The following is a 26,603-nucleotide window of genomic DNA, read 5'->3' as shown; positions in this document are numbered from 1 at the left end:
CCCAGGTCTACCGGACTATTAATAATGCATGTGTACTTTCCACTGCCCCATTGACTCACATGACACAGTGCCCACCTTGCCAGGGCAACTCAGCCCCTCACTCCAGCCTGGAGGCAGAAGGGAGCCTGCCCCTTTGGGAGAATCTCGGCCTCAGGCCGACCCAAAACCTCGCCCAGCATCGTGGCCACAGGGATGCGGCCAATCCCTTATATCCCAAGAGGTGTCTTGACCAGTAGAGCAACAAATCTGCATCTGAAATCTTTCATTTCGTATTGTAATTATGATTATTTGCTGAGCTCCGAGGCATAAATAATTTATTTGGATAATCCCATCCCAGTGACACTTTCCTAATGAAATGTCTTAGTTTGGAGGAGATTGTGTTCATTATGAGAAGGTCCCCTTTGCCGCCAGGGCGTGGAGAGATAAAAGAACAGGCAGGTGTTTTGTATAATCTATTTGGCAGGCTCTGGAGCCTCTGGCCTCAGTCCAGGCCTCATCATCATCAGAATATCACTGATGGATGTGTAATTTACGAAGCCTGTGTCATTCCTTTGTCAGAGCCACAAGCAGCCTGCCGCCTTCGTGGTCACCCAGCACCCTCTACCCAACACCGTGGCAGACTTCTGGAGGCTGGTGTTCGATTACAACTGCTCCTCTGTGGTGATGCTGAATGAGATGGACACTGCCCAGGTAGGAGGAGGCCAAGCCAAGCCCTAGGTGGGTCAGGGGGGCCATGCTCTAAACCTGGAGGGAGATCCCTTGACAGCCGGTGCCTGCCACATCTGCCCCAGCCAGCTGTCTTGTAATAAGCAGTGTCTGGCCACGAGCATCAGACAAGCCATTCTGCTACCTACAGAGGGTCCTGTCACCCCCCAGACCTCCAGCAAAGACTCCCCCTGCCTATGGGCTTTGTCCAACTCCCCGCCCGGGACCAGACTCTGTTGCTCCATCTCACAAGCATTGATTATTGTCTTGCTCCAAATCACACAGATCTTGCAGAGCCAGGAGGCTTCCTCCCCCAGCACTGAGCACCTGCAGCCCTGAAAAATACCCAGATGCCCGGCCACACTCACCTCCCTTCCCCCTCTGCAATGCAGCCTGTACAGACAGAGCCTGGGACTTGAACCTTGGACACATTACCCACTGACCACCCCACCAAGCCCCAGTTCCTCACGGTTGACCTTTGTTCCCCGGCAGGCTTCCTGCCTTAGCCCCTCTGTTCTGATAGCTCCAAGCATCACGTGCCTACAGCATATCCCCATACTCAGGACACAGGACGTGTATCTTGGAACAGTTTCTATGCCAGGGCAGCCATTCTGGGGTGGAAGAGCTGAGAATGGTCCTTCAGATTTTTAAAAACCTATCCTTTCACTGCCTTAAATAAAACTTAAAGTAACATTGAATTCCCATATGAGAGCTGGCCTTGTGCAGGCCTTGGATGGGAATTTAAAAATTTTTTAAACAGACCTGAGCTATAGTTTCAGCCCTCCAAAAGCGCATGGTCTTGCTCCAGAGACAGATGAGCACATTGTCCCAACCTCATGTGGCTGTGTTATAATAGAGGTCAGCAGTGAAGTGCTGTGTTGGCCAGGAGCAGGGAGCAATGAATTCTGCCCAGAGGGTGAGGGAAGACTTCAAAAAGAAGGTGACTTTGGCCTTGAAGAAGGCAGAGGAGCTTTAGGCATATGGAGGCTGAACTCACTGGGAAAAGGCATTTCAGGCAGAGGGAACAGCAGAGGCAAAGGCGAGGCAGGGGATGAATATACACAGACTTATTTGCGGAACAGTTTATGTTCCAGTGTGGCTGGGACCTAGAGGAATATCAGGAGGAGAAGAATGTAGTGAGGCTGAAAAATGCAGCAGAGCCCAGCTTGCAGAGAGGTCCCTGTGCCAGGCTAAGGAGCTTGGGTCTTGGTTGGCAGCATAGCAAGCTTCAGACTTCTACTTTGTAAGCGACAGAATCCTTTCTATGAATAAAAGCTTTCATGCAAGCCCAATGTATGAAATAGGGATGACCAAAAGCTGCTCATGATGAAGCAGTAGGCAGGGGTTGGGCTTCCACCCACACTGCTGTCTCATTTTCTCCTGGTGCCCTTAGAGGGGTCAGTCCTTTGTGGGACCACTGGAGTTTGGAGGAGCACAGTTAGAAATACTTTCTGTGCAGGAAGGTGAAACACTGGAGGGTTGACAGTGGTATAACACAGCCAGGGTTCCTGTTAGAAAGATGGGTCTAGAGGCTGGGCATGGTGGCTCATGCCTGTAATCCCAGCACTTTGGGAGGCCAAGAGTTCAAGCCCAGCCTGGGCAACACCATGAGACCCTGTCTCTACAAAAAAAAAAAAAAAAAAAAAAAATTTTAATTAGCCAGGCATGGTGCCATGTGTCTATAGTCCCAGTTACTCAGGAGGCTGAGGCGGGAGGATTGCTTGAGCACTGCAAGGCTCAAGTGAGCTATGATCCCACCACTGCATTCCAGCCTGGGTGACAGTGCAAGAACCCATTTTTTTTTTACTGACTCTTACTGTGTCATCCCGACTGGAGTAACAGTGGTGCGATCTTGGCTGACTGCAACCTCCGCCTCCCAGGTTCAAGTGATTCTCATGCCTCAGCCTCCCATGTAGCTGGGATTACAGGCGTGTGCCAACATGCCCGACTAATTTTTGTATTTTTAGTAGAGATGGGGTTTCACCATATTGGCCAGGCTGGTCTCAAACTCTTGACCTCAAGTGTTCCCCCTGCCTCGGCCTCCTGAAGTGCTGGGATTACAGGCGTGAGCAACCACATCTGGCTGACCCCATCTCTTAAAAAATAAAAAAAATAAAAATTGCAAAAAAAGGGTAAGAATAAAAAGAAAGCCAGGTCTGGGGATCAGTGCAGGTAAAAGGCCGGAGGAAAGACCTGGAAACCAGGAGACCGGGGAGGAGAATGTTGCAAATGTGTAGACAATAAAGGTAGTTATCTGAACTGCAGAAGTGGCCAGGAGGTGAGAGGACTGGAATTGGACGTGAAAACATTTCCAGACTTAAGTCCCCAAGGTTTAGGGAGCAGGTGCAGGTGGGAGGTGAATAAGAAGGAAAGTTGCAGATAATGGCAGGAAGTTGAGTCTGGGCAATTAGGCAACTGGGGATATAACTGGGGAAAATATGAAAGTCAGGAAGGTAGGGGAAGGCAGCGAGAAGAGCAGATGAACAGGGGATGAAATTGAGTGCACCTTGGGATGTGCCTGTGAGAGACGTTCCGGAGAGAGTCTATTGATTCAGGCAACCCATATTTGTTGGGCATCTGCTATTTGCTGGAAGCTATTCTAGGTGCTTGGAATGCATCACTGAGCAACACAGACAAAGCGAGGCATAAAAAAAAATTGCCATCTCTCATGCAACTTCTCTTCTAAAGCAGGAGACAGATAATAAGCAACACACATTCTCTAATGTGCTCAATTATAAGTTAGAAGGCTGACACGAGTGTTTGGAAAAAGGCAAACAAGAAGGCAGGGTAGTAAAGATCAGAACGTTGGATCTGGGACATAGAATGTCATTGCAATAGGATTGTCAAGGTGGGCCCTATGGAGAAGAACACATTTGAACACAGACGTGAAGGAGGTGAGAGAGTGAGCCATGTGACTCTCAGGGGGGCATCACAGGCAGAGGGAACACCTGCACCCAGGCTGCAGGGTAGGCATGCACCTGGTGCCCTTGAGGAACAGCACAGAGGCCATGGGCAGAGCAGCACAACTGTGGGGAAAGCAGCAGAAGGTGAGGTCAGAGGGCCATGGAAGACATAGAAGAACTTGGGCTTTCACTCTCAGAGAAACAGAGAGCCATGCACATGTTTGAAGCAGAGGAGCAACATAATTTGCCTTTTTTAATAAAAGCATCCCTCTGGCTGCTGTGTTGAGAATAGATTGTTGGTGCAAGGATGGGGAAGAGTGGTTTCTGAAATGGAAGCAGAGAGAACAGACAAGAGACTACTGTGATAATTCAGGTGGCAGGTGAGGTTGGTTGAACTGGGGGGTAGATTCTGAAGGTAAAGCCAACAACACATCCAGAGAGATTGACTATGGAATAAGAGAGAGAAAGAGGAATCAAGGGCCAGGCATGCCTGTAATCTTACCTAGCACTTTGAGAAGCCAAGGAAGCAGGATCACTTGAGGTCAGGAGTTGAGGCCACGAGTTAAAGACCATCCTGGACAACACAGTGACACCCTGTCTCTACAAAAGAATTTTTATTTTGAGATGGAGTCTCACTCTGTCGCCCAGGCTGGAGTGCAGTGGCGCGATCTCAACTCTGCCGCCTCCTGGGTTCAAGCGATTCTCCTGCCTCAGCCTCCCAAGTAGCTGGGATTACAGGGGTGAGCCACCACAGCCAGCTAATTTTTGTATGTTTAGTAGAGATGGGGTTTCCCAATGTTGGCCAGACTGGTCTTGATCTCCTGATCTCAGGTGATCTGCTGATCTTGGCCTCCCAAAGTGCTGGGGTTATAGGCATGAGCCACTGCACCCAGTCCTACAAAATAATTTTAAATGAACTGGGCATGGTGGTCCATGCCTGTAATCCTAGCTACTTGGGAGGCTGAGGCAGGAGGATCACTTGAGCCCAGGAGATCAAAGCTGTGGAGAACTGTGATCACACCACAGTACTCTAGCCTAGGGCGACAGAGTAAGACCCTGTCAAAAAAAGAAAGAGGAATGAAGGATAATGTCAATGATTGGGGCCTGAGCAATAGAAGGTTAGAAACTGAGATAACTATAAAAAATAAATGAATTCTCATAAAACAGAGAGTTCTGGAACATTCCCTGCAGAGTTTTGGAGTCTGAAGGCATCACCACCCTACGCTTTTGGCTGAAGAAATAAAAGAATGAACTCAGCTCATGAGCCTGGGCATGAAGTCTGGCCTGCAAAACCCTGTTTGCTCTTCTCTTTTTCAACATCCCTTTCTGCAAAACCAGAGCTCAGGCACAGAGGATGACTTTCAAAGAACTTCACTTCGGGACATATAAAACCTTTGAAACAAAGGTCAAGGTCATTGGCTATAGCTCCCCCTTTCAGGGTGGGTCCTGGGTGAATGAAGAATCTTTCAGGCCCAGATGTTGGTACAGAGTTTGAGAACTGATTCTCTAAATGCAAAAACATCAGGCTCAGAAGTACCCTGAGGTTGGCTGCCATACGCAGCTGGCAAGCATTCCCTGAAACCGGCAGATGAATAGAGCACTTATTGATATAAATATCATCACCGCAGCAGCTGGGCGCCTTATGAAAATAAACAATGACACAGGATGAGCATCAGAAAAGCCGCCCTCAGCACCTGGAGGGGCGGTTCTTTGAAGCGGCGTCAGCATCTGTCTGCCTGCGTGCTCATGCCAAGGCAGCCTCCAAGCTAGCCCAGCCTGGCAACATGGACAGGTCTGCCTTAGGACCTGAGCATTGCTAGGTCACTCCTGAGAGGACCGATGCCATCTCCTGTGGTTTGCCTGGGAACCATAAGAGCGTACGTTGGGGATTGGGCAGGGCTACCTGTAAGCTGCAGCAAAATAAGAAGAGGGTGTAAGCTCTCACAGGGCCTTATTTTTTTTGCACTGCTGGCCAAATCTGCCCCTGCTCAGAATCTTACACTACTTCATTTAGTCAGCCCCAAATTTTCTTTCATTCCTGCAGTGGTTGCTGTTCAAAGGTAATTATGATCAATGAGGGCTCAAAATAAAGGCATTCAAACTTCTGCATTCAACCTTACAGATTTTTCTAACTCTTTAGGACTCCAAATGTCTGTGGTCAGATTTGCGGGGTAAAATCCTAGAACCACGCCAGCCAGCAAAGCATGCTGTCACTTCTCAGACTCAGCAGAAAGAACATTTTCAACCACATCCAACAGCATTGACAAGATCTTTTCCCTCTTTGTGGTCTCTACGGACCACCAGAAAGACACCAGAAAGAAGCCCTCCTTGCAGTCATGCCATACTCACCATACTGTTTAGAGAGCTCAGGAGATCCTGCATGCCAGCCAAAGGGTGGGGCTGTGTGGTAGCCAGAATCGTGGCCCCACCAGAGATGTCCACATCCTAACCCCTGAGACCTATGAATGTGCTATGGCACCTGGTGTATGGAGCATACAAGGATGTTTCTTTCCTTTAAAACAAATAAGAGTCCACAACTTACATAAAAGCTGAGTTGCTCTGTTCTGGGGCTCCCACTGTGGAAAGCCTGAGAGATCAGGGATGCAAAGCCTTTTGGAAAGGTGAGGGTGCCTGAGTGCAAGGATAATGGGGGCTGTGATGGATTCCCATGGAAGTGAGAGAGGCAAGCTCCTCATTCTCCCAGGAGAAAAGCAGGGTGCTATTTCAGAGATGTCTCTTGCTGCCATTGTGCCTCTAGGGCAAATAGCAACTCCTAATATCCCCATTTTTAGTCTGGGCTTGTGAAAACACAGCCTAACACACCAGCAAAATATGCAAAATACCCAACCTGCATCTCAGCCAGCCTCAGGTCTGACTTTGCAAGGGGCTGTGTCTCTGTTTCTGTCCCCACCAGAATGGTAGGGGTAACAGTAAAAAAGAAACCTGGGGTCAAGAGACCTGAGTTCAAATTGTAGCCTTGGTACTTACTCACTGTGTTGCCCTGAGCCAGTTCCTTTACTTTCTCCAAGTCTTAATGTTATCATTTGTTAGATTACTATAACCTAGATGTTAGCCAAGTTCATTCTGTCTTTGAAGATTTAAATAAAATTTGCTCTGTTCCCTACTCCCCATCCTATGGGAAAACCCAATGTCCATCCCCAACATTTCTGAGAATTCTGAGGGGGTTGTCTTCTCATGTTTACTTCCAAGTTTCAGCTGAGGCTTTAGTCGGAGAGATATGAGCTTCATATCCCAGCAATGCCCATGACTTCAAGTTGAACATCACACATCCTCTTTCTGAAGCCTCACCTTGCCTCCTCAGCTCTCACTAGCAGTAACACATCTTCCCCTGACCCTGTTGCCCAAACCATTTTCTTCCCATTTACCTCCTTTCCCATCCCTCCCTTCTCAGCTCTTCCACCCTCTCCCCAAAAGTTGTTCCTTTCTTAAGCTGCAAAATCTAGCCATCTCCTTAGTACGTCTTTCTTAAACCTGCTCTGAGCCTTGCCTCCCACCCCAAGACTCTTCTGTAGGTAAGTTCCTAAACTCCAACCCTTCCTTCCCTGAAACAAACTCTGATGCAGCTGTTTTAAGAGTAAGTTTCCACCCACTATGTGGAGATTGTATTATGGAGCTTCATGGGACTACTGGAAGGATACAATGAGGAGAGATGTGTGAATCTCTCTCTCTCTCCCCCCTCTCTCTCCCTCTCTTTCTCCCTCTGTCCCTGTCTTCTTTATGCCTTCATTCACAGTCTGCCTTCCTTAACTGGACATAGTATCAAAGCCAATTATATATTTTTGGATCTTTATAGAATCTGTTTAAAGGAATTTTATAATCACTGATGCTGAATTTTAAAAGCAATTCAGGAAACTTACATTTCTCTCTTTAAAATACCAATTCACTTCACCTTTAGGTGGCCTGGGATTGATTTCTTCACTCTGGGTCGCAGGGGCCTTAATAAATAAAGTCCTTTATTTCTAACGTGATGATATTACTTGGCCTTTCCATTTTATCAAAGTATTTTTAATAAAAGAAAGGCATAACTAAGGTGCACTGAAATATGCTCTAAAAATGTTTATTCCAAAAATAGACCCATATGCTAGTTTTCATTCAACTCATCGGAGCATGTTTATTCCAGTGATAACAAGCTTTCTGATTCCATCAGCAAGAAAAAGACGTTTAATGCGTGAGGCTACCTCTGCATTTGTTATATATCACACGTGAACTTGCACCCCCCAAGGACATCTTTTCATGGCCCAAACAGCCATGGAGAGCACTAGGTGGAATAATGTATGGCAGCTGTTCCAGGGCTATCCACACAGGCTTCACAACCTTTGCTTGGTTTAACTTGTTCTGACAAAAGACAACAAAAGTCCCCTCTGTTTTTTTGGAAGAAGCATGATTATTTCTAAATCATTAACAACAACTGGACTGACTTCCTCTCCCCGGTGTGTTCATCGCCACTACCTGTATGTATCTGCAGTGGCAAAGCCCTCCCTTCAGGCAGTATCACCTTTCACCCTCAGACCACTGGAAAAGAAAGGGTAGGAGAGAGTACTTACTAGGCAATGAAGTGGAAAAAGTCAGTTGGTCTAGACTCTTGGCTGAAGAATTTGAATCTATTCTTGGATCAGCCAACTTCAAAAGTTTTACATCTAAGGAAGAAAATGTCAAGGTTGCATTCAGGGTAAGTGTGGCCTTTAGGTCAGCTACGTCCTCGTGATCTTAAAGAGGCAAGTAGGCTTCCTAGAATTCCCATTTCCTGAGCCTTAAGAAACCATAAGCTTTCCCTCCCCAGGAGTTGTATAAATCGCAGATGCTTACGTGCTTATATGAAAAGTCTGGCTCCTCCACTCACAGATGTGATCTCTGTTCCATGTCTATGTGAGCCAGGGAGCCGAGCTCAGTTTCTTGCTGGTTTCTGCAAGAAATACATGCACAGTATGCATTTTACATGCTATTATGAGTTTATGGCATATTTCAGAGTTTAGGAGCAGGGTTATGTGACACACTGAGTTGCCTTTTATACCTCACTGCTTCTACAGTGATCTCAACCTTCCTCTTTTATCTTCTGGGTCATTCAGCTCATCGGAGCAACCCACAGATCTCTGTATTTTGACATGCAGTATCCCATATCTAGGATGCTACTCATCTTCACAGCTACCCCAAGCTGGCTGATCCAGAATTTCCACACGGGCAGTCCTTTGAGTATTATCCTAAAGAGAAATTTTCATAAAAGCTACTAAGTGGAGGAAAAAAATCATCTATTTATCCATCTTGGTTTGAGGAACCCTCCCCCATACTGCCTAATAATCACAGCTTACATTAATTGAGTACTTGCTAGATACAGATCCCTATGCTAAGTAGACATTAAAATTCACAGCCACTCATAACAAACTGGAGAAGCTAAGAGATGTAGCCAAGCCATTCAAACTAGAAAGTGATAGAGCCACGATTTGAATCCAGGGAGCTTCAAGAAGAAACCCCAATGCATTTTCGCACCTTTTGCTACACAACATAAGCAAACCAAAATGGTAGCATCCATTCAGGTGCAGCTACAGCACTTGAACACCAGGACAGTCTTGAGCTAAACCACAGAGGATGTTTCTTATTGATGAGAGTCATTTCTGAGCCCCAAAGGGTCAGTGGGAAGAGAAAACATGGCCCCCCTGCTTTCTTTCTCTTATTTCCCATGGCTAGAATATATGCAGTGTCCCGGGCTGCAGAGAGACCCTGATGATCCCTGGCAGCTCAAACACCACATTTGCCAGCACATCACCCTGCTGAATTCACCCATTCTGCTGCTGCTGTAGTCTCACAAATTAGGGCATCCAAGTGAAAGGATGACTCTGATTTAGGATTAGAAAAGCCTGCAACCTTCCCCAGCCCTCTGGGCATTATGAGAGAGTGACCCAGAAAATCGAATGCAGAGAAGTGTCCCGAAATATAGGAGTCTTGTTTGAGGCGTAGTAGAATCTATCAGCTTGAGAAATTGGTCTGGAAATCTTATTAAAAGAGACAAATCATTCCACATTCTCTCCAGACTGAAGATATTGGGGATAATAGGACTTCCCTGATACCTTGGATCCATGCACCTTGTGTCAGGATCACAGCCAAACTCTAGGAACCCTAAATTCAGTGCAGGTGATAAAGGCAATTATTTTTTTTAATGGGCAGTTCTGATTAATTCTGGTTTCTCTGACCAACCATAGACTTATTTGTACCAATCTCTCATTACTGTGAAGGTTGCAAGGCGGAAGAGCCAATGGCAAAGAGAAATGAAGTTCAAATTGTGGATTTGTCATCATTGCACAGCTCAGCAGATGGTTGTCCAGCCATGGAGGCCCGTGACCAGCGCCCGACAAGACACACACACACACACACACACTCACACACACTCAGAGCTCCTTTCTCACTATGCTTGGTTAACCCCCAGTGGAGACGCCAGGAAAGCAAGGCATCATTGCGTTCTGAAGCTTAACCTTGCATACTTATGCTATTTATGAGGGGCGATAAGAAGAATCCTTCAAATTTATATATCATAGCTATTACTATTATTATTTTTGTTGAGCACTGATGGATTCAACAATGGTATGAATCACTGGAATTTAGTAAATGCTTATTCCATGCCTGGCACTGTGGTAAGGGTTTATTTACATGAATTATGTCCTTTATCCTCAGAACAACCCTATAAAGTAGGGGTTGCCAAACTTTTTCTGTAAAGAGCCAGATAGGAAATATTTCAGGTTTTGCAGGCTATATGGTCTTTGTTACAACTACCCAACTCTGTGGGTGATGCATGAAAGCAACTGTGGACAATACATAAATGAATAAGTGTAGCTGTGTTTCAGCAAAGCTTTATATGCAAAAATAGGCAGCTGGCTGGGTTGGCTTGTGGGCAATAGTATGCCAACTGCTGCTATAAGGTGAATATTCCTAAGCTAGAACTTGGGGTTTCCACAGCTAAGAAGGTGGGAGACATGAGTTTCCATCTCCTACATCCTTCCTGCTCGCTGCTCTTCCCTTCTAATTCTAGTTCTGGAGGAAGGAGAGAATGAAGGTATTTTCACATGTGACTTCTCAGGGTGAGATGGCTGTTCTTCGGCCACGAAGTGGAGAGCAAGCACCCCCTTCGATGAAAACCCTGCATCTGTAGGGGGTGGGTCACTTCTGTCCATCTAGCCCCCTATTTGCAAGCCTGGGGTAGCCTGAACCAGACCCCCGCTGAGGAGAGACTCAATCCCAAACTGCTCTCAGAAGCCTCGGTGGGTCTTTCTTTGTGAATCTTGGCTATATCTTCAGGGTAACCCCCAGATGAAGGGTCTAACACATGACTTCTTTGTTCATGTTGGGGTGGTCCCCAGCGAGCCTGCAGCCGCAATCTTGTCTCCCCTCTGTACCCCAGCAATGGGACCTGTAGACCTAGGCAGGATCCATCTTGTGCCCCTTGGGAACCAGGAACTGGAGGGAGCATGCCTTGCTCCTCTCTGCAGCCACACACCCCACCCCCCACCTCAACATTCTCTCCTCAGCTAAAGTTATCTAGTGGCTTAACAGAGACAAAGATACAAGAAACAAGATATCCATCTCTTCTTCTTCTTCTATTTTTTTTTTTTTTTTTTTTTTTGAAATGGAGTCTTGCTCTGTTTCCCAGGTTGGAGTACAGTGGCGTGATCTCCACCCACTACAACCTCTGCCCCCTGGGTTCAAGTGATTCTCCTGCCTCAGCCTCCTGAGTAGCTGGGATTACAGGTGCCCACCACCATACCCGGCTAATTTTTGTATTTTTAGTGGAGACGGGTTTCACCATCTTGGCCAAGCTGGTCTCGAACTCCTGACCTCACGATCCACCCACCTTGGCCTCCCAAAGTGCTGGGATTACAGGCGTAAGCCACCGCACCCAGCCTCCATCTCTTCTTCTCAATGACCCCTGAAGCTTAAAGAATAATTTATGGCCAGGTGCAGTGGCTCACACCTGTAATCCCGGCACTTTGGGAGGCCAAGGTGGGTGGATCACGAGGTCAGGAGATCAAGACCATCCTGGCTAACACGGTGAGGCTCTGTCTCTACTAAAAACACAAAATAAAAATAAAAAAAATAAAATAGCCGGGTGTGATGGCACATGCCTGTAGTCACAACTACTTGGGAGGCTGAGGCAGGAGAACCACTTGAACCCGGGAGGCAGAGGTTGCAGCAAGCCAAGATCGCACCACTGCACTCCCGCCTAGGTAACAGAGTGAGACTCCGTCTCAAAAATAATAATAATAATAATTATAATGATTTTATACTAGGTTTTCTCAGTCTCTGCACTATGGATATTTGGGGCCACATAACTCTCGGGGGGAGCTAATCTGTGCACTGCAGGATGTTGAGTAGCATCCTCTCCTCTACTCACTAAATGCCCATAGCAACCCGCAGGTGTGACAATCAAAATGTCTTCAGACATTGCCCAGATGCCCTCTGGGAAACAAAACAGTCTCAGACTGAGAACCACTGTCTTAAACAGAAGGTCAATCACTGCCTTTTGCTCTCAGCTGTAGGTTCTAATTTCCAATTCCAGATAAATAGAAAGAATCATAGGCAAGATCTGTCAGCACCATGTGACATTAACTTTTGGTGCAAAGTAAGCATAATTATCCCCACTTTACCTATGAGAAAACTGAGGCCTGGGCTGCACAGCTAGTGAGCACCTGAGACCAGATTTGGACCCAAGGCCGCCTGAGGTCAAACCCATATATATATATATTTTTTTTTTTTTTTTTTTTTTTTTTTTGAGATGGAGTCTCGCTGTGTCACCCAGGCTGGAGTGCAGTGGCGCGATCTCAGCTCACTGCAAGCTCCGCCTCCCGAAACCCCTATATTTTTTACACTACTTCTGATCTGATCATGAATGAACACTATGAAGGTTTTCCTGGAATGAGGAAGAGCTTGTGATGATTTGCGTGGTGAAAAGAAAAATAGATGGTACTTGCCCTTTCTTTAGCATGTTCTATCTAATCCTGACAGCGGGGCTTAGAGGTAGATATTATTCTCCCCATTTTACAGATGAGGAAACTCAGGTTAAGCAAACCTAACAAATGGTTTGAAATCAACATAGCAAAGATTTGCAAGCCCAGTGTTTCTGTGCTCAAAGCCTTGATATTTCAACACCAGAAAAAGTGGATGGCTGCTCCCTAAAGGGGAAACTGAGTCTAATTTCCTACATAATACTCTACCTTTCTGGCCAATGTGTCCTTCCAGCCATAAAAAAAGCTTGGTGACGGCTGGGCACAGTGGCTCACACCTATAATCCTAGCACTCTGGGAGGCTGGGACAGGTGGATCACCCGAGGTCAGGAGTTCAAGACTAGCCTGGCCAACACGGCGAAACCCCATCTTTACTAAAAATAGCCAGACATGGTGGCAGGTGCCTATAATCCCAGCTACTTGGGAGGCTGAGGCAGGAGAATCACTTGAACCTGGGAGGCAGAGGTTGCAGTGAGCCAAAATCGTGCCAATGCACTCCAGGCTGGGCAACAAGAGTGATGCTCCATCTCAAAAAAAAAAAAGAAAAAGAAAAAAAGAAAAGAAAAGCTTGTTGATAAATGAGACTTTGATACCCGCCCCCTGCCTTTGAGCTCCTTCTGTGACCTCTTTCCTTATCTCAGTTCTGTATGCAGTACTGGCCTGAGAAGACCTCCGGGTGCTATGGGCCCATCCAGGTGGAGTTCGTCTCCGCAGACATCGACGAGGACATCATCCACAGAATATTCCGCATCTGTAACATGGCCCGGGTAAGTACACGGCCGCCATTGCTTGCTGAGCCCCTCCTCCCCAAGACAGATGGAGGCTGCCGAGAGAGGATCCCGCTGAGCCAGCCAAGAGTCTGTGTTGTGCTCTCCTGATAATTTCTTCCTTGAGGAAGTGATGCCTGTGCTGATTCCGGCTCCAGACTCAGCAATGACTCCAACACATAGAGATGCAACGAGCGACATCCAACCTGCCATCTGCCTGTTTCCTGACACACTTGCTGCCGTGTAGACAAAACTTCTTAGACATTAGCTCTTCCCCACTGTGTCTCTGTACTGGCATGAGTTGATGCAGCCTTTGATTGGATCCCATAAGCTTTGGGCCAGGCACTGCCAACACCTAGATGAAAAGTGATTACTTACTTCCATGAGGATGTTCACTGGCTGAGCAGAGTAGTGGGTGGGAGGGGCAGATTAGCAATCTATGAAATGGTTGCTAACTAATGCAGCTTTGGTCACTACTTGGGGCCCAGGATGAAAGGAGCTCAGCACCTCCCCTACCCCCCTGCTCAGAGTTCACTGTCCACTGAGACAGTGAGACATGTTCTGGCACATGAGCCTCAGGGAGAAAAAACTCTGCCCAACAGAGTCAGGGAAGGCTTTCCTAAAGAAAGGGACATTTAAATTGGGTTTTGAAGGCTGAGCAGGAGTTTTTCAGGTACAAAAGGGGGTTCAGGGCAGTCACGGCAAGAGAATCTGTGTACACGAAGGAATAGAAGTAGTCATGGGGACTCTCCCCGTGAGGACATGGCTTAGATCCCATTTGGTCTGTCTTCCACCATGATGCTGCAGTCCCCGGGGTATCTGCAAGGTGCATGTACGCAAGCATCCCCAGCAGAACAGCCCTAACAGCCTCTCTGTTCTCAGCCACAGGATGGTTATCGTATAGTCCAGCACCTCCAGTACATTGGCTGGCCTGCCTACCGGGACACGCCCCCCTCCAAGCGCTCTCTGCTCAAAGTGGTCCGACGACTGGAGAAGTGGCAGGAGCAGTATGACGGGAGGGAGGGACGTACTGTGGTCCACTGCCTGTGAGTACTAGGGAGGTGTCACCAGGGCAATAGGGTGGTGGGTGATAGAGCATCCTTGCAGATGCTGCTGGCCACATACCCCAGTCCTAGGCAGGCCTGGCTATACCACAACTCAACATCCCTCAAAGGCTAGTGGCAGTACATTCAAAGGAATTATGATCCTTTAATGGAACGGGGCTGCCAGTTTGTTGTCCTGAACTAATATATGACATATTATTGATGCAAAACCTAGTGGTCTTTCCACAAACATGAGAGGAGGTTGCCTGCTTCTCTACAATGGGCTTAAAGGGATCATAGGACAAAAAGAGCATGAGGGAAAGGCACTGCCCTCAGGGGCTGATAGATGGATGTGAAGGACTCTAGGAACACTATTGTGCAGGGGCACAGTGAGCTCCAGACCAGCTGTGTTTATACCCCCATTGCTGGGGTGAACTGGAGACTTTACCTCCTGTCTTCGAATGGACATTGTCCAGTCTAATGAATTCTGGTGTCATTACGCTGGGTGGAGGTCAGGACCTCGAGAGGACAGTGGCTGACAAGCTGTGCAACGTCAAGAAAATCACTGAATTTTATAAGCCTGAGTTTCCTCGTCTGTTCATTGGGTATGTGGAATTAGACAATCTTCAGACCTTATAGTGCTTTGGCATGAAATAGAAAGTGAACACACTTTATCTGCCAACATAGAGACCAAGAATGTCATGGTAGCAAATATGCAAACGTAAATGTAATTACTTAAAAGAGCAAGTGTCACAGAATCTATCCTGGGAGTATAGAGTGACCACAGAGGATTCTACAAAGTCTCACACCCAAAACAAATCTGCAGCCATAACAGCTATGTGTGAAATATTTGATTCACACTCACTTTGCTTCTTAGAACTTCAACGATTTGAGGAAAAGTCATTGAGAAGGCCTCTCTCTTTTAAAATGTTATGTTAAAGGAAATTTGAACGAAGGTCTTCTCTTTCTTACAACAAATATTTCTGGAGCTAGTGGAGGCACTGATAACATCTGACTGACCTCAGAATTGAGGTCAGTCTTTTCAAAACCAGCTAATTATTCTCCCTCTCAAACAGGTGGTGCATGCACATGTTAGGCAAGTCAAAGAGCTTAAAGGAGGTTAAACACACAGACACATAGAGATGCACACACAGAGCTTCAGGGCCACCACCTGCAGCAAAAATTCTTCTCCAGAGGAAGCAAACCTCAGGCTAGAGTTCAGGAAGATGCTGCGTAGTGTCCCAAGTCAGGCTGATGGGTGACATCAGCCAAGCCCAGCTGGCTCTGCCCACATCCCAGAAACTAGCAGCTGGTTTCCTGCCAGCTAATAGCTGCTGCCTCCAGATGCCCAGATGCCTCCCACACATTCAGGTGACCTTACCTTAGCACCCATCTTTCAGGGTCTCACACCACCAGGCCCTGAGACCCTGTGTCTACTCACCTCTTCCTTTTGGACGCTGTTATTCTTGCTTCAGAAATGATAGAACCGTCTTTCATAGGAGACCTTTCTCTCCTCTCTCTCTCTCTCATGTTTGTTTTTTAGCCTGCTTTTTTTTTTTTTTTTTTGCACTAGTGTCTTTTTATCTATGTCCTTTCCAGCCAAGGTGGCCAGTAGTTTGAGCCAAAGGAAGGTACAGGGGCATTCTTTTACCAACAGGGAACTTGGTTTCCTTGAGGGCCACAGACACCATAACAGACCTTGAAATGCAGGCACCAGTCAGTGAATGGAAAGCAACTCTCTGTACTTGAAACATCTGGTCACTGCATGTCCTGTAGATAAAACATCTGGGAGATTGACTGAGTGCCTTAGTTTCTGTCCAGATGTTCTTTAGACACAGACCATTACATGAAATCATTAGTTGCTCTTGGCAACACGCCCAGGAGTTCTGAATCAGGCATATTCCTACAGGGACTGTCTGTAAAGAGTTTGAAGGGTGTTTCCATGAAGATGATTTATGGAGTTTCAGAAAGGAGTAACAGAGACACAGTTCTGCCACCAACCCTGTATCCCTAGACTCAAGATCAGTAGCATCTTGCTTAAACCAAAGTGTATAGTAGAGACCTGTCATTTTAAGATAAAGCCTATCAGGACCAGTTCCTCCCTCCAAGTTCCTACCTCCAAGCTTGGGCTGGCTGACCCTAGGCTAACAGAGCATTGCTGTCCTTAGTGGAGGATGGGAAGAACTAGTAGGAAAATCACTTGGAAATTTTCATTGTCTTTATTGGATGTTTAAGTGGACCCAGAGCATTCTTTTGGACATGGATGCAAGCATCAGCAAGGATGCAGGTGTCACATGTACAAAGACACAGTACCATCCTGCCCTTGGGGTTTGGGTGAGTGTGCCCTGAGTGACTGTAACATGCTCATAGAACCAAGAAAACATCAAGCTAATTGAACTCTCAAAGGTCATCTAGTCCAACCCCTTCATTATACAAGTGGGGAACTTGGGGCCCAGACAGAGGAAGTGACTTGGCCAAGGTCAAAGCAAGTTAATGGCACAGATGGGACTCAAACCATAACTCATGGCTCAGGCTAAAGCCTTCACCATTGCCTTGCCTTGCATCTGCCCAGACAGCTGATCCCTACTCCTACTGATGTAGCTTTAGAATCATCAGGTGCCTGGAAGGGACCTAGGAACATGGCTCACCTCTTTGCTCTGTGTTTAGAAATGGGGGAGGCCGTAGTGGAACCTTCTGTGCCATCTGCAGTGTGTGTGAGATGATCCAGCAGCAAAACATCATTGACGTGTTCCACATCGTGAAAACACTGCGTAACAACAAATCCAACATGGTGGAGACCCTGGTGAGTATCCCAAGGACTGTTCTCCAACAGCCAGGGCTGACTAGTTCCCTTGACCTGGAGAAAATGACATCAAATAGTAACATCACTCAACACCTGGCTGCTAATTGTATACCTGCATTCTGTGCCCTTGGTATGCACTGTTGTCTGTCCTGTGTCTTCCCCTTCCAACCTCCCCAACTTTTCTTTCTTGCAGGAAAATCCAATTACTAATCCTGGTACACCTACTTTGCTTCACTTTCTGCCCATTCCTTAAGACAGTGTCATTAATTCAGGCCTAAAGGAAAGGATGCTGGATTAGTAGAATGTGAAGTATGTTTTCAATTCAGTCCAATTATATTCCAATTAATTTATGGTAATTTTTACAATAGAGAGCATTTATAGTAGAGAGTACTATGGAGGAAAGTGTGATAAAGAGAGTGTGTGGGCAGAGCCCCGGGTGATAAGACCTGGTACCATGGTGGACCACCGCACCATGCACGAGGAGCTTTAATATAAGTCTTTAAACCTACTCGAATAGTGGTCTTAGTCAAAATGAGGCCATATTAACGTGTGGGTCACAGACCAGCAGCAGCATCATTATCTGGGAGCTTGTTAGAAATGCAGAATCTTGAGCCCCACTCCAGATTTACTGAATCAGAATGTGCATTTTAAAAAGATTTCTGGCTGCCTTGTATGCACGTTACAGTTTGAGAAGCCCTGTTGTACAAAACAGTAAAAAAGAAAGGGAATGATGCCAGCTGGGCATTCGAGGAAGCTTGGGTAGAAGCAGGCATCAAGCAGAATTTTGAAGGATGTCCAGATATGGGTAATTTTGAGTTGACATAATATGGATATAGAAAAAGTTTTCTCCAAAATCTGTATCTCTAAACTAAATGCATTTTCCCTTTCCTTTTTCATCTCTCTCGTCTCCTCTTCTCCCTCTCTGCCTCTGCTCCTCTCCGCCTCTCAGGAACAGTATAAATTTGTATACGAGGTGGCACTGGAATATTTAAGCTCCTTTTAGCTCAATGGGATGGGGAACCTGCCGGAGTCCAGAGGCTGCTGTGACCAAGCCCCCTTTTGTGTGAATGGCAGTAACTGGGCTCAGGAGCTCTGAGGTGGCACCCTGCCTGACTCCAAGGAGAAGACTGGTGGCCCTGTGTTCCACGGGGGGCTCTGCACCTTCTGAGGGGTCTCCTGTTGCCGTGGGAGATGCTGCTCCAAAAGGCCCAGGCTTCCTTTTCAACCTAACCAGCCACAGCCAAGGGCCCAAGCAGAAGTACACCCACAAGCAAGGCCTTGGATTTCTGGCTCCCAGACCACCTGCTTTTGTTCTGAGTTTGTGGATCTCTTGGCAAGCCAACTGTGCAGGTGCTGGGGAGTGGGAGGCTCCCCTGCCCTCCTTCTCCTTAGGAGTGGAGGAGATGTGTGTTCTGCTCCTCTACGTCATGGAAAAGATTGAGGCTCTTGGGGGTCACTGCTCTGCTGCCCCCTGCAACCTCCTTCAGGGGCCTCTGGCACCAGACATTTGCAGTCTGGACCAGTGTGACCTTACGATGTTCCCTAGGCCACAAGAGAGGCCCCCCATCCTCACACCTAACCTGCATGGGGCTTCGCCCACAACCATTCTGTACCCCTTCCCCAGCCTGGGCCTTGACCGTCCAGCATTCACTGGCCGGCCAGCTGTGTCCACAGCAGTTTTTGATAAAGGTGTTCTTTGCTTTTTTGTGTGGTCAGTGGGAGGGGGTGGAACTGCAGGGAACTTCTCTGCTCCTCCTTGTCTTTGTAAAAAGGGACCACCTCCCTGGGGCAGGGCTTGGGCTGACCTGTAGGATGTAACCCCTGTGTTTCTTTGGTGGTAGCTTTCTTTGGAAGAGACAAACAAGATAAGATTTGATTATTTTCCAAAGTGTATGTGAAAAGAAACTTTCTTTTGGAGGGTGTAAAATCTTAGTCTCTTATGTCAAAAAGAAGGGGGCGGGGGAGTTTGAGTATGTACCTCTAAGACAAATCTCTCGGGCCTTTTATTTTTTCCTGGCAATGTCCTTAAAAGCTCCCACCCTGGGACAGCATGCCACTGAGCAAGGAGAGATGGGTGAGCCTGAAGATGGTCCCTTTGGTTTCTGGGGCAAATAGAGCACCAGCTTTGTGCATAATTTGGATGTCCAAATTTGAACTCCTTCCTAAAGAAACCCAGCAGCCACCTTGAAAAAGGCCATTGTGGAGCCCATTATACTTTGATTTAAAATAGGCCAAGAGAATCAGGCCTGGAGATCTAGGGTCTTGTCCAAAGTGTGAGTGAGTCAATGAGAGGGAACCAACATTTGCTAAGTCTCTACTGTATGCCAGGGATCATGCTTGGCACTTTCCATAGGACATTTCACACAGTCCTTAGAACCCCCAGGAGAGAGCTACTGACTTGTTATCATCTCCATTTGATCATCTCCTCCAATGAGGAAACCCACGCACCTTCCTTAGTAATGAAATCCTGGGTTCCAAAGGGGCAGGTAATGGCAATGAGACTTCTCCGTGCTGTTTTCTTCATCTTCTCTAAGCCAAGCAATTATTTTATGGAGGGAAAATAAGGCCAGAAACTTCTGAGCAGATAACTCCACAAATGGAAATTTAGTACTTTCTTCCTGATGCCAGTTCTTCTGGGAAGCGCAGAATTTCAGATATATTTTAGTAACACATTCCCAGCTCCCCAGGAAAGCCAGTCTCATCTAATTTCTTAGTCAGTAAAAACAATTCCCTGTTCCTTCAGGCTATGAATGGACCAGCCAGGGAAACTCTCGACCTTGATCTCTAGCCAGTGCTTAGGCCCAATATCTGACAGCCTCAGGTGGGCTGGGACCTAGGAAGCTCCATCTTGAAGGCTGGTCTAGCCCCAGACAGGGCATGAGGGGCAGAGAATTCAAGAAGGTACAGCTTTGGCCCTCAAGAGCCCACTGTATGCTGGGGAAATGGAACCATGGTGCAGTAGTGTGGAGTGGATGAGTGTTCCATGAGCCTAGGAGCAAGAAAGTCTCTTCGGCCTCGGGCTTCCTGGAGAAGGGGACGTCCATTCCTGCTGGGTCTTAACAAGCATAAAAAGGAAAAAAAGGAAACTCAGGCAAAGGGATCCATATGTGCAATGGCAAAGAAATGTGAAAAGGCATTGGGAGAAGCAGTCTGGGGGAGGCCAGCCCAGTGCGGGCACAGCACAACACGGGGAGCAGCAAGAGATGAGCCAGGGTCCAGGAGACAGATGCCCATCGCGAGTACAGACTTTGTCCTATTGGCAACAAGGAGTCCATGGAGCTTTAGAGAGATGCACTCAGCTTCGTGTTGGCCAAGACTCCTTCTGGGCCAATGGGGCTGCCTCTTTTCCTTTCATCAGACACTGTGAAAACATTCCCTTAAGCGTGCACTTTTTAATATCACATCTATTTGTCTGTCTGCTCATTGTTTTGTTGCTGGAACTAAATATGCAATGGATCATGAGACTCAGATTCTATGAGAAACCCAGGGTCTCTGCTTTACCACGGAGCAGGGTCACCAACCCAGATCTCCAGGCCCATGAGGATGGAACATGAAAGGAGCCGACAAAAGTTGCTTCCATTGGCATGGGCTCTGGAGCTGTCCAGAAGTCCAGGGACACCAGACTTGATCAAGGAAGGGCTGTCACTTTAGAGGTTCAAAAGGAAGTGCCTCAAAGCAAAGGCAAGCAAAGGAACCCCACGATGAACTTGCTCTTTTCCTTTGATGAGCCTCTCCCCAGGTGTATTTCAGCAGACCCCGGGGACCCACCCCCACTGGGCCTGCTGGCCTCCCTCGGCTCCAGCCCAATGCCCCAGCTGGCCTTCCCCAGCCTGCAAGGAGCCTGTAGCATGGCAAATCTGCCTGCTGTATGCTATTTTCTTAGATCTTGGTACATCCAGACAGGATGAGGGTGGAGGGAGAGCTATTTAACACAAATCCTAAGATTTTTTTCTGCTCAGGAAGGGGTGAAATAGCTGGCAGATACAAAAGACAGTGGCTTTTATCATTTTAAATGGTAGGAATTTAAGGTGTGACTTCAGGGAGAAACAAACTTGCAAAAAAAAAAAATCTCAGGCCATGTTGGGGTAACCCAGCAAGGGCCAGTGATGATTTCCCCCAGCTCATCCCCTTATTTTCCCACAACCCAACCATTCTCTAAAGCAGGACAGTGAATAGGTCTTAGGCCAGTGCACACAGGAAGAAATTGAGGCTTATGGATGGGGATGACTTCCCTAAGATCCCATGGGACAAGGATGTGGCAAGGCTTGGATGAGATGGGGCACCAGTGCCCAGGAATTTGAACATTTTCCTTTACCCAGGAAATCTCCGGAGCCAACACCACCACCCCCAGGGGGTCTCCCCACCCCACCCCATTTACAGGGTGAGCTCAGCCTGTCATGAGCAGAGGAAAATATTATTAATGCTCTCTGAGTCTTTACAACAGGAGCTCTTACCTCATAGATGTGGGCTCTGTTTGGGGAAGATGCAAGGAAGTAATGAGAAGCCCAGGAAATTTCTCCACCTGTGTTTATGGCCTAAATAGCTTCAGGATGTATCTTAGCTGCACTCCAACATTGCATCCTTTCTGGGGTGAAGAATCTGGGCCAACCAGGGGTCCTTGGGCCTCTAGAAGGCCACAGTAGGCCTCTCTTTGTGGGAATGGAAGGGGACAGTTTGCTTTTAGTGCTGGCCCTCTCTGTGGGTGTGGCCTGCAAAGGAACCAACAGACCCTATGCTGGGGACTCTAACATGTGAGCTCATTAAATTCTTCCAGCATTCTAAAGGAGGGTTTGTGATTGTCACCATTTACTGATGAGGAAACTAAGGCTCCTAGGGGAGAAATCACTTGCCCACAGTTCCACAGCTAGTGAGTGAATGAACCAGGATTTAAACCGGTTTTTTCTCACTACAGAGACAATATTTTTCCACCATTGTATCTCACATTTTTCCCAGGAGGTTACCCATAACAGAAGAGACTAGAGTGGAACAGATACGTCAGTGGATAAAGCTCAAAGCAAACAACAGTAAGCTTAAAATTCCTTCATAGTCTCATGTTTTACGTTCACAATTCATGCAAAATTTGCATTCCACTTTCTGATTTAGCCTTGTTGGTTTTAATATGACTCTATGAATATTTCAAAAAAAAATGTGCTCTGTTCCTCATGTTGTTCTGTTCTGTTCACCCCGCTATGACGGACCCTAGGTCAGCTGGTCTTCAGCTTGACCCTAGAATTGACTCTAGGAGCAGTGACCCTGCTGCCTCCCAGAGCCAGTTATAGGCTCAAGATCAAGACCAACTGACCTTCTCCTAGGCAGCTCCTTTGGTGTGTGGGTGCTCTGACCTCACTGTTCATGAGGGGACCTCAACTAAGGCATCTTCCAGTTGGGTGCTGGAAGGAACCCATTAACTCACACTAGAATGATGAGGATTTGCTCATCTGGCGTGGAGAAGGATGAGCCCACAAAACCCTAAAGGGAAAAGAGAAGCTGGACACAGCTGTACTCAGCAGATTCCTGAATGCTAGGCTGGAAAGTGGTGCCTGTTGTCCAAGTGGAGTCACATGGTTGCTAATGTGGGCAAGTCTGAGGACACACTTCATGAGCAGCTGGGGTCTGGAAGGCTCCTCACTTTACCCTAGCCACACATAATTACTGGGTGCCTACAGCACCTAGCACCTTGGAGGGGGCACTATTAGGAAATCGAGATTACTATGGCACAATTAATTCCTGGGTAAGGCATGGGGTTGTGGTGGACAGAGCTCAGTCTTTAGTTTGAACGAAAACATACATACATGAAAAACATACATGAAAAAAGGACCCTCATCAACATTAGAAGGGGTAGATTTGGAGCACTTTAGGCAGGAAAACAGGAACGCAAGGCCAGGAAACTGGAACCCAGTGAATACTCAGAACCGAGGATGCAGATGACTTATTTAGCAAAATGGTCACTTCTGTGACATAGCTGGAGAAAGGATGGGTAACAGCTTGCCAGAGCCACTTGGAACAAGGGCAAATCTCAGTGTCTGGGGCAAAAGATGATGCATTTCCCTCTGACCCATCATGTTTATTCATCCTCCACTCCCCATTGCCACACTAGCTCTTGCTGTAAGTCCTCACCAGGATCTACATTTCCTCGTCGCTGGTGGGAACCCCTTAGAGTACATAGAGGTATCAGTCCAGTAAGACTGCTCTACACAACAGAAGTGAGGCCCAGGGAGTAGCAGCCAGGCCCTTATCCTGTTACCTCTGCAGGAGTGACTGCCCAACCCAGATCCAGAGACATTGAAGGAAATGATAATTCCTTGGTACCTCACTGCCTTGGGACAAAATGAAGAAAGCCACCCTTCCTTAGGCTGCAGCTTGCCACTCCTGGGCTGGGTAAACAGGTCATCAGCACCAAGCTCAACCAGGAGTAACACTCTGGAAGACATGGGTGAGCCCAAGAGGAAGCATGAACAGGACGCTGTTCCTAAGTCATGTCAACAGGTTGTGCTGGGCCAGGATCCCCAGGGAAAAAAATGGTCAACCCAACTGGAGGGTAGGTTAGAAGAAAAAAAACATAAACGTGGATAGTCATGTCATCTCAAATCCCTGACTTGGCTTCCCCATTACTTAACAGTCTGAGCTCCTTCTTAGCCTGTGACCAGCTTCAAATCACAGCCAAGTAAAACAAGGAAATAGGAAAAGTAAATCCAACTAGAAGAGACAAGCTGAGATTCAGATTTGTTTACTCCTCCCATGCAAAGTTTCCCTGTTGGAGGTTTTCCATGTATACATGTCTAGAAGTGATAGAATGCAAGGCCTTGGCTTTGTCTTGCAGGGATCTGCCTTTGAGGTCATAGACTGAACAGCAGGGAGAGAGGTTAGTGGTGGAGTGTGGGGGGAGCTGTTCTAGCTCCAGTTTCTTCTGACACATTTTTCAGGATCATGGATCTGATCCTCCGAAGCACAGCAGAGATATCTAAGCCATATTTGTGCACATGAGCAGACTCTTCTAGTTTTTTAGTAACCAGGGATGGGCTTTTGCATGGCACTGACTATAGAGATGTCTTGTAGAGATCAAGCCAGTCTTTTGCATCCCACCTGCCCACCTCCAGAAGAGATGGGAAAAGGTCATCAAAGGGCATTCACCAACTGAAATCCACTCATGAATGTTAGGTCTCTAAAAGGAGGCATCAACACTCACAATGGTAGCCTCCAAACCTAGCATCCCACCTATCTAAGAGCTCAGGGGTGGTCCACTGGGGCAGATACAAGGGAAGTGCAAGGGCTCAGGATGAAAGAAAATCTATTGGGAAGAGTTTTAGGGGCTTGATCATTATGGGGCTTCCTTCTATATCTGAGAACTGCTCTGGGTGGTGAGATGTGGACTCTGATCCTTAATTGGAATGTTCGGAGAATGAGTGTCTGGTGGCCTTGAAGTGTTGGACAGAAAAGTATCAGTATAAAAGCCTGGAGCTCAGGGTAATTAATGTAGTTCATGGTTCCTTAGTGAGCAGGACTCTTGGATGTGGAGGAGAAAGGGTCATAGGAAGTAAACCACCAAAATTACAAAATTGAGTCTCTGTACAATTACTTCAGTGCCTTTGGGCTTATGAATACAAATCAGTGGGCCTTCTCTATGATGGTCCAACAAACTCTCAGTGTCCACCCTGTCCCTGTATCTCCCATGGAAGATGAATAATGTCAGGTGTTCTTTGGGTCAAAGGCCCCAGGGCAGTCTGGAGGCTTAGAGGGCAGAGTGGTGTCATTCCATGTAAAGTTAGGCTTCTGAGGGGTCAGGCAGAATATGGTGTCCATATCTTCCATAGCTCTGCAGATTCTTGGATGAAGTCAAGCACAGTTTGCTAGACCCAGGTCACTCCTCTGAGTATAACTAGGACCCATGAGTGAAACTTAATAGCTGTAAGGAAGAACCTGCTGTCTGCCAGAGAGGATAAGCTGCCCATCTCAGCAGCTGTCTAAAAGAAGGCAGGTGTCTCTTTAAAGGGAAGAGAAGCATTGGTGAAATGGATTTCAGGTCACTTCCATTCCAGATGGGTGAGATCTTGTGGAGCTGGGATCATGTTTGAACTCATTCATACCTGTAGAGCACGAATCCAAGTAGATTGTGTTTGGTCTGTACAGGCTGAAGCCCCCTGCTCTCCCACCCAAGTGCCCCCACTGAGCAGGCCAACATGCTGTTGTGGCCACATATACTGGGCTGATCCAGGCTGGTTATCACCAAACAGCAAACCATAGGGAACAGCTGCTTTGCCATAGACCCAATACCCATGTAGATCTCTCATGAGAGCAGCCATAACTCAGACCCACTGACCAACAGGGCCATGAGTGACAGCCAGAACCAGTGAAGGTCCAAGTAGGACACAGAGCAGGGCTTTTCTTACCATACACATTATCTCCAGAGGTTATTTCTACCCCACTCCCTATTCAAGGCCTGTTGGAGCACACTGCAAAAGCAAAAGCACAGTAACTCAATTTACACATGATTATAATCATTTCCAGTGCACACATTTCATCACCAGGTGGATCCTGAGCTAGCCCATGTAAATCCGGGTTAACCCATATTGGTAATCATACTCAAAAGCACTTTTCACCCTACATTCTACTAGCCAATCAAAGACAAAGAGTTGTGGCCTCTACCATTGCCTTGGCTTCTGGACACCCTCACAAGCTATCCCAAGGTTCCCGCTCAACTCCAGGGAGGCTGACATCTTCACATCCACTGGGCATATAATATTGCATGAGACCAAAGTCTCCACACTCTTTGCAGCCTCCTCCATGAATCCCAATGGCCTGCACTTGTACAGTTTGGGTGTTTGATAGATAAAGCACGTATGAGAAGAGAAAACAAAATAAATCAACTTTTTAAAAAAGCCAGCACTGTGCTGTCAATGTTTTTTTTTTCTTTTCAATTCTAGCTCAGAAAAGCAGAAGGTAAATAATGTCAGGTCAATGAATATCAGATATATTTTTTGACTGTACATTACAGTGAAGTGTAATCTTTTTACACCTGCAAGTCCATCTTATTTATTCTTGTAAATGTTCCCTGACAATGTTTGTAACATGGCTGTGTTAAAAAATCTATACAATAAAGCTGTGACCCTGAGATTCATGTTTTCCTAAGATATTCGTACTGGTGTCTTCCTGAGGTTGGGTAGGGATGAGGTGGGGACAAGTTGAAGGAGGAGGAGAAAAAATTATCAGCTAGGTTTCTTTATATTTAAGTTAATCCTTACATCACAGGAAATACATATTATTCCCTCTTTGCAGACGAAAAAGTTGAGGCTCAGAAACATCAAGGGATTTTCCATGACTGCACATTGAGCTAGTAAAAGGGTTGAGTGTAAAGTGGTGTTTCTCAAGTGTGGTTC

At 46.9% G+C, this 26,603-nt stretch overlaps 1 protein-coding gene and 1 long non-coding RNA gene across 16 annotated transcripts in view; one reads left to right on the top strand and one right to left on the bottom strand.

The window, feature by feature from the left end:
* LOC101927182 (uncharacterized) overlaps positions 1-26,603 on the bottom strand; it is a 204,657-nt gene that overhangs the window by 9,394 nt on the left and 168,660 nt on the right. For 2 of the 5 annotated variants that reach the window (XR_001754608.2, XR_244179.4), the window contains exons 1-5: positions 19,678-19,748; positions 17,075-17,283; positions 8,641-8,827; positions 8,436-8,532; positions 8,174-8,266 (exon numbers count right to left, since the gene is read on the bottom strand). This is a non-coding gene — a long non-coding RNA (uncharacterized LOC101927182). Of the gene's footprint in view, positions 1-8,173; positions 8,267-8,435; positions 8,533-8,640; positions 8,828-17,074; positions 17,284-19,677; positions 19,749-26,603 lie in introns of those variants that run through there. The other 3 variants (XR_001754611.2, XR_001754609.2, XR_001754612.2) reach the window with 2 other exon arrangements.
* PTPRT (protein tyrosine phosphatase receptor type T) overlaps positions 1-26,603 on the top strand; it is a 1,158,017-nt gene that overhangs the window by 1,090,796 nt on the left and 40,618 nt on the right. For 9 of the 11 annotated variants that reach the window (NM_001394024.1, NM_007050.6, NM_001394025.1 and 6 more), the window contains 5 exons: positions 559-690; positions 13,258-13,383; positions 14,266-14,429; positions 17,094-17,229; positions 18,179-26,355. In NM_001394024.1, coding sequence (NP_001380953.1) covers positions 559-690; positions 13,258-13,383; positions 14,266-14,429; positions 17,094-17,229; positions 18,179-18,232 — 612 coding nt within the window. In that variant the 3' untranslated portion in view covers positions 18,233-26,355. Of the gene's footprint in view, positions 1-558; positions 2,838-13,257; positions 13,384-14,265; positions 14,430-17,093; positions 17,230-18,178; positions 26,356-26,603 lie in introns of those variants that run through there. The other 2 variants (XM_047439848.1, NM_001394026.1) reach the window with 2 other exon arrangements.

The sequence above is a fragment of the Homo sapiens genome, chromosome 20 (assembly GCF_000001405.40).
Source record: "Homo sapiens chromosome 20, GRCh38.p14 Primary Assembly".
Lineage (NCBI taxonomy): Eukaryota > Metazoa > Chordata > Mammalia > Primates > Hominidae > Homo > Homo sapiens.
This window is presented reverse-complemented; position numbering and strand designations above follow the sequence as displayed.